Raw genomic sequence first — 10128 nt, forward strand, 5'->3', positions numbered from 1 at the left:
GTTACCACTAACTTGTGCAGGCTGACACTATAAAGAATGACAGCACTGACTACAAATATGATTCCCTCACTCCACTACATTTGTAAATGTCTACCCAGTACAAGGCAATGTGCTGGTGACTGGGAATGGAAAGATAAAAAGACATGATTTCTGTGTCTCATACTATGTTGAGAAGTAAGATTTTTTTAAGGTGATAAAATACATAATTTTATACAGAAGCATAAATTTTCTTTTTATCTTTTTTTTTTAACTTTTTTTTTTTTTTGTAATTGCAGAGATGGGGTTTCACCATTTTGCCCAGGTCGGTCTTGAACTCCTGAGCTCAAGTGATCCGCCTTCTTTAGCCTCCCAAAGTGCTGGGATTACAGGCATGAGCCACTGTGCATGGCCTAGAAGCATAAATGATTTAAAGTGACCCAAGAATAAGTAGAAGGCAGAAATATAGATCAATAACCATATTGTAGTAGACCATGGCCAGGCCTGTTTCATCAAAACCTTGTGTAGGTACAATAGTACAGTAAAAAATTTCAAACTGGGTTATATTATTAGATGCTCTATAGATGCTAGATGCCTCAGTGGTACTAAGTGGTATTCGAAATTTTGTAAATCTGGTACCAAGAAGATGGTAACATGGTTTAAAATTGAAATGTATCCTTTTTTAGTATAGGCCCCTATGTGCTGATATGTACCCACCTACATTCCCCCAGCACATAAGGTGTTATCAGGCAGTCAGCTGCCAGGGGCAGCTTCTTCAACATAGTAGACCCTTTCCTCCATGTGGACTACTGAGGCCTCCAGACAGCAGCATGCCTGCATGGGAAACAAGGACAGTGCCAGAAAGCCCAATTCACTCACACCACCACGAATCCTTGAGTCCATGAATCGGTAAGTGAATCCATGAATCTTTGCATCCACTCAATTGCTTGTTTGCTGGTTAAAAAGTCAAAACACAGAGAAATGATTTTGCTTAAGAAAGTTGTGTTGCTCAAAATATAATTCTCATCAATCCTCAAGTGCAGGACAGCTTATATCGTCTGGCTCATCTTATCGTAGAAGAAACTGAAAGAAGTACAAATTATTTGCATATTATAGCAATTTTCAATGCACTGAAAAAAAAATCTAAAGTTTTGAATTCCATTTACAAAGCTAGAAAGCCTCAAAAATATTATGCTCAAAAAACAAAACTGTAGGTCAGCATTTTCAAAACAGATCCACAAACCTTTTTCAGATAGATGTTAATGAATGGCCACATAAAAAAAGATTTTGTGATCTAACAATTTAGATCAATGCTACCCACGATAGCCCTTTCTTGAAGACTCATAATACATTTTTATATAAAAGGTTTTGAGAAGTCCTACAGTAAACAAGCAATTTAACAAAGAATTTCCCAAACTTATTTGACTCTAAGCTCTCACTCTCTTTTTTATGCCCCATAACATTTTCTGCAACCAAAGAAAACACAGTGGAAAAATAATAACCAAATCAATTTGGAAACATATCAGATTTCATCAGGACAACAGAAATAGGCAATATTTCCTGCTTCTAAATATTAATAATGAATATGTAACACCTCATAAATCTGACAAATACTTAGGTGATTCTTCCATTTATTCATTCATATATTGGATTATCATTTAGCTCTTTCAAGGAGTGTATTATTCCCTTAAATATCAGCATTAATGCAATTTATATTTATGTTTGGTTTTTCTTCATTGGCTCTGAGAGACACAAGTGAAATGTGGAAGAGCTGGAATTGGTCTCAGAGAAAAACGTTGATCAACCTAGGTTAGAGAAGGTAAGAAATAACAATTATTTTCTGAAACTTCTAACCAGAGTCCCCTGATATTTAATGTTCAAGTGGAAGCATAGATTGAATAGAACAGGCTTCCAAGAAAGATTATGGGAGCCTAGTAAAATTCTTTTAAAAGGCTACTCTCTGAACTCTATAAATAGTATGTGTGTCTCACATGCTATTTGAACACTTGGCTCTTTTTTCCCATGCCATAGCCATGGTGCCTTTTTGCCAGGTTCATGATGGCAGGGCAGGCTTTAACTGCAACTGCTTTCATGTAGCCTTCAAAGTGGGTGTTAATGACACAGTATTCTTTGCCCCAGTCTGAACATCATGACTCTAATACTATCAATTCATACAGATGTCTGGCATTTGATAAAGGAAAGCATCTATTATACAAACTATATGGGGCTAAAACATCTTGGGTTTGGAATAATCCAAATTAAAGGTGTCAAATATTACATTCGATGTACAAAAATTTTGGGAGCTTCAGTTTAAAATAAATTTTTAAATGCATCTTTATTTCAATTCTGCCTAGCCATGATTTTGGTTCATAAGAGAAAGTTATGCATTCTTTCATTTACTAGAGAAATAGAATTACTATTCAATTGGTATATATACATAACAATTGAAATTTCAGGCTGTCATTTTGATGTAAAATCTATTTTGTTTGCTAATTTCTAAATCTTGTAAGAGATCATAATACTAAAACCCCAACATCTCTTTAAAAGCCAGATATCATTTATCTCAGTTGAATATCTTTTTTGGCTTGGTTAAAAGGTGGACAAAAGTTACCAAGTTCAATTATGACCTAAAAAAACTCCAAATATTTACAAAATAGAAAAATGGACTTTTCATACTAAGTCCAGGGCATGGATGCATGAACTGGTACTAATTAACACCAGCTTAGGCTATCTCTTTGAAAGTTTCATTTTTTTTATGTTTGTCATTTGAATCACAACAATGAAAAAATAAATAATTAATCATAAGACAAAAATCCAGTTACGTATGTGTTCAGCTACATGAATTATTTCTTATGGAACCAAGGTCAAGCATTTTAATTTTTCATTCTAATGAGGATAAGAAAGGCAAGTGAGCTAAATCATACATAGACATGATTAAAAGAGGCAAGGATTATTATACTGAGCAGTATCTTGTAATTGTTTAAAGACTAGTCCGATATGATGTCAAAAGAGGGAATTAGGGTTTTCTTTTTTTTGTTTTTCGTTTTGTTTTGTTTTTGAGATGGAGACTTGCTCTGTCACCCAGGCTGGGGTACAGTAGCACGATCTCGGCTCACTGCAACCTCCACCTCCCGAGTTCAAGCAGTTCTCTTCCTCAGCCTCCCAAGTAGCTGGGATTACAGGTGTCTGCCACCACCCCTGGCTAATTTTTGTGCATTTTTAGTAGAGAAGGGGTTTCACCATTTTGGCCAGGCTGGTCTTGAACTCCTGACCTCGTGATCTACCCGCCTTGGCCTCCCAAAATACTGGGATTACAGGCGTAAGCCACAGCGCCCGGCCTGGGAATGAGGTTTTAAAGATACTTGCAATAAGTAAAAGGAGTTATTTTTACCCAGAATTATAAAATTACACCTATGTATTTTTTTTTAAGGTACTAGACACAGAGTGAAAAATACAAACACTTAATATAATGGATTAAGATTCTGGGCAGCCAACACTCACTTTTTTAGAAGAGTTCATCTTACTAAGGATCCAATGTAGACAGTAGAGAAGATGCTTACAACATTAAATGGGAAAAGGGTCCTGTCTTTGGTCTGTCCCTGCAAAACAGAGGCTTAAGCTGAGATTAGCCTGCAAGGAGGCTTACTGGGAAGGGCTCTAGGGAACAATACCTGTGAGGTAGAAATGAAAGCAGGACTGAGTAGAGAGGAAAAGGGTGAATGATGATTGGCAGTGACCAATCATCATTGGCTGAGCTTCCATGAATTGTATGGAAAGCCATAGAAGAGGGATGGCCCCTCAGAGTTGTCCAAACATGTGGCAAGGGAACCAGGCCTTTGTACCTCCACACTGACCAGTCAAGTGGATCGTACTCACAAGGGGATAGAAACTGAGCCAAGACCACCCCTTTTGTCCAAGAGCAGTGCCTGAGGAAGGACTCAGCTATGAACAGTCAGCATGCAGCACTCAGGGCAGCTGGTGGAACAAAGGGGTCCTGGGTGGTGTATAGAGCATCCACTGCAAGTCCCTGGAGTGGAGACTGTTACTAATAGGTAATATTGAGCTGCAAGAATTCCTGACATTAGTAAAATGCAGTGAGAACTTCATTTTATGCTTGTCTACTCAGGTAAAATCCAAAGAAGAGAACGCATCAGGACAAAAAAATAAAAGCTGTAGTATAAGTTCCAGAAAAACAAAAATAGGTGTAATGCAATTCCAAGATAACTGACATCTGCAGAAGTCTCACATTAGGTATGTGTTTAGATTCTCTCCCTCCCATGCATATACATTCCCTCCCATGCATATGCATTATAGACCTTGTGATCCTTAAGTCAAGAAAATTTAGTCCAGCAATACTCCTGGTCAGAGAAATATGACATCACACTCACAAACAAACATCAAATGAAGAACTCTCCATGCTCTCTCTCATTCGGGCCAGAACAAAAACCACACACTTGCAGATAAGTAATATGAATGTGGAGGGGCTTTGGCTTAGCAACAGCATTTTATTTCCCCTATTATTGTGTTGGCTGCTGAAAAGATCCCAAACACCTAATTCAAATAAAATGTAAAATGTTTGCTCCTTGCTTCTTATTTCTCATTGTCTTCACTGCATTTCAACTGGAATGTTCTGCCACCATCTCAAACTTAAAATGGCCCATGCCAGCCTCCTCACCAAATTTACTCAGAGAGTTTTTCAAATTAACAAACTGTAATACAGACAAGATAGATGCATGGTGCTCTAGGTTGCATATCCACCAAAACAAATCTGAAAAGCAGAAAATAATTAATTGTTCTTGAGTCAAAGGTACAAAATGTTAGAAATTATATTGATTTTTCTCCAGTTTTATTGAGGTATACTTGACAAATAAAAATTGTATATATTTAAGGTATGCAATGTGACTTTCTGAGATATGTATACATGTATACATTGTAAAATGATTACCACAATCAAGCTAATTAACATACCCATTATCACACGTAATTACCATTTTGTGTGTGTGGTGAGAACACTTAAGATAAACTTTCTTAGCAAATTTTCAAATATAAAATAGAGTATTATTCATTATAGTCAGCATACTGTACATTAGATCACCAGAACTTCTTCATCCCATGTAACTGAACCTTCGGACATTTTCGTCATTATTTCCCAATTTCCCCACCCACCTCCTGGCTCCCAGCAACCACCATTCCACTCTCTGAGTTTAGCATGTTTAGATTCCATATAAAAGTAAGATCATGCAATGTTTGTCTTTCTGTCTCTGGCTTATTCACTTGGCATAATGTCCTCCCAGGTTAATCCATGTTGTCAAAAATGGTAGGATTTCCTTTTTTTTAGGCTGAATACACACACACCCCCCCCCCCCACATTTTTAATCCATTCATCTGTTGATGAACACGTAGGTTGTTTCCAATATATCTTGGCTATTGTGAATAATGCTGCAATGAACATGGGTGTGCAGATATGTCTTTGAGATACTGATTTTATTTCCTTTGGATATACCACCCAGAAGTGGGATTCCTGGCTTGTATGCTAATTCTGTTTTTATTTTATTTTATTTTATTTTATTTTATTTTATTTTATTTTATTTTATTTTATTTTTTGAAACATGTTCTCATTCTGTCACCCAGGCTGGAGTGCACAGTGGTGTAAACACCATTCACTGCAGCCTCAACCTCCCGCCTCAGCCTGCCAAGTAGCTGGGAGAACAGGCTCACACCACCACATCCAGCTAATTTTTTTTTTTTCTTGGTGGAGATGGGGTCTTGTCATGTTGCCCAGGCTGGCCTGGAACTCCTGGACTCAAGTGATCCTCCCAACTAGGCCTCCCAAAAGGCTGGGATTACAGGCCTGAGCCACTGCACCTGGCTTATTTTTAAGTTTTTGAGGAATCGCCATACAATTTTTCCTTAATAGCTGTACCAATTTACATTCCCACCCCAGTGTTCAAAGGCTCCCTTTTCTCCACAGCCTCACTTGTTTTGTCCTTTAGATAATAGCCATCCTAATAGGTGTGAAGCGATAGCCCACTGGAGGTTTGAATCATGTTTCTCTGACGATTAGTGATGTTGAGCACCTTTTCATATACCTGTTGGCCATTTGTATGTTTTCTTTTGAGAAATGTCTATTCAGGTTCTCAGTTCATTTTTCAATCTGGTTGTTTTGTTTTTTGCTATTGAGTTGTTTTCATTCCTTATATGTTTGGGATATCAGTTCCTTGTCAGATAAACAATTTGCACATATTCTCTCCCGTTCTGTCAGCTGCCTTTCAATTGATTTTTAGTGACACACAGTTTTTAAGTAGAAGCATAGGTGAAAAATAAATTATGCATTTTTTCTCAACCAGAAACTTTTTCTTTTTTCAAGGCTAATATACACAGATGGTTTCAGAATCATTCATACCTAAAATATATTGAACAAGCTATGATGCATAAAACACACAGTTTCATAGCAAGAAAGAATCTTAGATAACCTATTTCAACCTACCCATTTTACAGATAAGGAAGGGAGGCCAGAAATGGAAGTCACTCAGCAATGGACTTAGAGTTAATTAGTAGCCATTGCCACACAGAAGCCAACTCTCAAAACAGTGTTTTTTGTACAACAATAAGCTCCATTCACATTTCAGGAAGTTTCAGTGTGTCCTTGTTTTCTATCATCACTGCAATTAATTAATATTTAATCTGATAGGAGATTGTGATTCCTAATGTCCTGTTCAATAGTAATGTTAAATGTTTAAGCTGCTTTAGCTTTTGGAATACAATACAGAAAACTGTGGTGAGATTTTATATCTTGGATAAACCTTGTTCCATATTTTGTATAAGTCATAAAGCTGGGAAATGTGGTTACCTGGTCACAAAAGTTAAATGCATTGAATATACGTTCTTTACGTAGGCCCCAGACCCATGGAAAAGAGCTGATCCCATGAGACTCCAGTGCTGAGGGAAGTGGCAGCTCTAATAACCTCCAACAATGTTCTGCCTGGAAAGAGGTTTGCAACTTAAAAGGATGCATGGCCTAAAGCCAGCACTGATCACATAGCATGAAAAAATTAAAACCAGGATCTAGTTTCAAATTCTGAAAGGCATTTTAAATGACTGGCTGACCCTGCATTGTAATTTTCATTATTGTTTTCCTACTTCATTCAGAACAGGATTTTGTATTGGGATTTTAAAAGGAATACAAGTAGAAAAAAATCCATAACCATACATCCTCCCAGCCTCTAAAAGTTCTCTTTATTTATTACTTTTGGCTTTTATTCTGGATCTTACAAGGAAAAATTATGTGTATATATATATACACACACACACATATATGTGTATATATATATACACGTACGTATGTGTATATATATATATATGTGTATATATATATACACATACATATATATCCTCTCACATTTCACATTTTATCCTCATTTCCAGACATGATACACTGTTGGCTAACATATTTTCTATATTATCAATAGCAGATTAGCTTATTCCTTGCCTATGAAGGGCAAGTTAAAAGTTCAATGTTAGTAAGAGTCGGTTCACCCTTCACCCTGATCTGTGACCCTAGACAGTGTTCCAGAACCTAACTATCCCTCTAATAAAAAACAATAGGAAAACCCCATGCAAGAGTGAATGGCCTCCTAACACTACTGGAAAATATCTCCAATGACATATGTTCATCTAGAGGCTAGCAGCACCTTCTTTACACACAACAGGCAGTAACACTGACAATTTCTTTAAAACCAGCTGCATTCCATGCCTTTCCCTGGACCCTGGGAATGCAGCAAGGAGAAAGTTAGACCCAGTCCCTGCCTTCTTAGAACTGCATTCTAAATTCTGCTTCTTCCAGCAAGTCTGTTGAAAATTTCAGATAATCTTGATTTCTTTCTTCTCTGAGCTTCTGTAGCACTTAGAATCTGTAACTGAATATAAGACCACTTTATACTGGAATTTTATGTGTTTCACTTTTACTCATTCAGGCAACACTAATCTCCTTTTCCCAATGAGATTATAAATGCCTTGAAATCAAGGAATTTTTTAATTTTCTGTTATACTTAATGCTTAACACAAGAGTGGTCACTCCGATTTAATGTTGCCTTTTTGTTGCTGTTGAGCAGCTAAAAAAATTACAGGTAAAAAAGACTAAGCAATTTTAAATACAATTTTGAGAACTTTGAATAACACAAACTAGTAAGTAATATATTCATACATAAATATTTAATTCACAATCTCTCTATAGTATTAAATGAAAAGCAAATTCTTATCACTGTATACGCATAGGAAAAAGAGACAGATACCAAAATAGTACGTTAAATCATATGAAATTGTGAGTTTTGTTGTCTAGTAGGTCCATACGGTTAAACACAATATAAATTCAGCTTGGTTATAGGTGGAATTAAATTTTCTTCATATTTTAAGGTACTTTATTTTCCTATAGTAAACATTTATTTTTAATTAGAAAAACAATTTAAAATTACTCTGATTTGTTAAATACACTAATAAGGCACTCTTTTTTGAAATCTGTGAAAAGATGATTTGTCCACAGCAAGTCTGACATCTAGCCTTCTAAAGACTTGGTGGGATTTGCTGCATTAGATCCAGCACAACTGTCCTTGACAAGGTGACTATTTGGTGTCTAACACCCTCTAGTGAGCGGATTGCGAACACTCAGTTTATTCTTGTAATTACACTTGAAAACAGAGGACCTCTCCAATTGATGCCAGCATTGTTACTAATGGTTTTTAGTTGCAGAAAATTATGATTATGAGTGTGAATTTCTAAAGGAGCTCAGTTTTCATTTTTTTGTGAGTCAAATGAGTCCAGTGTTTCTATTATTAATAGATACAGCCTTTACCTTCAATTCAATTTGAATTGCAAAGACTCAAGATAAAGAATGGTATAACATTTAAGGACATCAGGATTAACTGGATTATCTACCACCCTTCTAATTTCAATGCAACCAGTCTGTATTACCTATGGCACATGCCACAGGGATAATGCCCACGTGACTGACAGGAACAACCAAGTACATAGCCTAGAACAGGAGAGCTGGGGGTGATCATTAAATGCTACACAATGGAGCTGGGGCCTGTGCCACATGGCTTTCAACGTTAATATTTATTCAGAAATTGGATAAATGTCATTCATTTATATAAATTCAATATAGCCAGTTGGTTCTTTGCACTTTAATTTTTACTCTTCCTTTGAACTAATGCTGTGAGTTTAGATTTATTGTGCAAATTTCAATTTGATGAATTAAATAAATAAATGAACATTTAAAGATATGTATTCATTTACAATCTGAACCTCACTCAGTCCTAAATTTAGTATCCATTACTTTCTGAGGTTGAATTTCTTCTGGTAAAGACCTTTTGTTAGCACCATTCCCAGGGTAATTCCCCTTTCCCCCAAGAAGATCCCAAGCAGCAACTCTTCCTATCTCTTGTTTCTCTTTAAACTGGGAGGGTTCTTTGTAATACAAGCTGCAGGCTGAAACCATCTCACCTTACCTACTTGTATTGGTTCAACACATATTTACTATAGTGCTATTGTAAAAATCTGGATCAATATTCTAGTTCTGAGCAATTATCCTGTAAATCCTGCCAGGTGATGAGAATAAATAGGATGCCGATCACCCAGAGGTTTCCTTTTGGGGAAAGTAAGACCGAGGGAGCTAACCAAATCCAAGCCCCATGCACCCAAATCTTAGCAAGCATAACTATAGCCACCAGTTATCTGGGTGTGTCACAAGACATTCTTTCCTCTCTCTTGGAGGACGCAGTTCCACGGCTTCACCTTAGCATTCGGCTTATGATAAGGAGTCCATGCAACCCCTCCAAGACACATTTTTGTCCCAAACTCTATTCCAAGCTTCGGGTCAAAGCCCTAGGAAAGAAAACTGGATCTAAGGGATCCAGAGGTAGACGATAACAGAGGTTAAAAGGCACAGTGCAGGTGAACATGGCTAATTCCTATTGATTAAGCCAAGCCTCCCATTTCATGGATAAAGGTAATGCTAGTATCCATGGCATAAATGAGGTCTAGGGAACTCCAAGGCTACTGACAGTAGGGGGGGATAGAGACATAGGTGAGAGTGGATAATTCCTATTCTCTAGGCCCTCCCTGCTTCATGGGTGCAGGCCTCTTTGGCACCCATGG

The 10128-nt window shown here is 37.0% G+C and overlaps 1 long non-coding RNA gene across 1 annotated transcript; it reads left to right on the forward strand.

The window, feature by feature from the left end:
• Positions 1-816: 816 nt before the first annotated feature.
• LOC105374172 (uncharacterized) lies at positions 817-4279 on the forward strand. The gene is made up of 3 exons (XR_924604.2): positions 817-885; positions 1726-1795; positions 4103-4279. It is a non-coding gene; the product is annotated as an uncharacterized LOC105374172 (long non-coding RNA).
• Positions 4280-10128: the final 5849 nt, after the last annotated feature.

Source organism: Homo sapiens, chromosome 3, assembly GCF_000001405.40.
Source record: "Homo sapiens chromosome 3, GRCh38.p14 Primary Assembly".
NCBI lineage: Eukaryota > Metazoa > Chordata > Mammalia > Primates > Hominidae > Homo > Homo sapiens.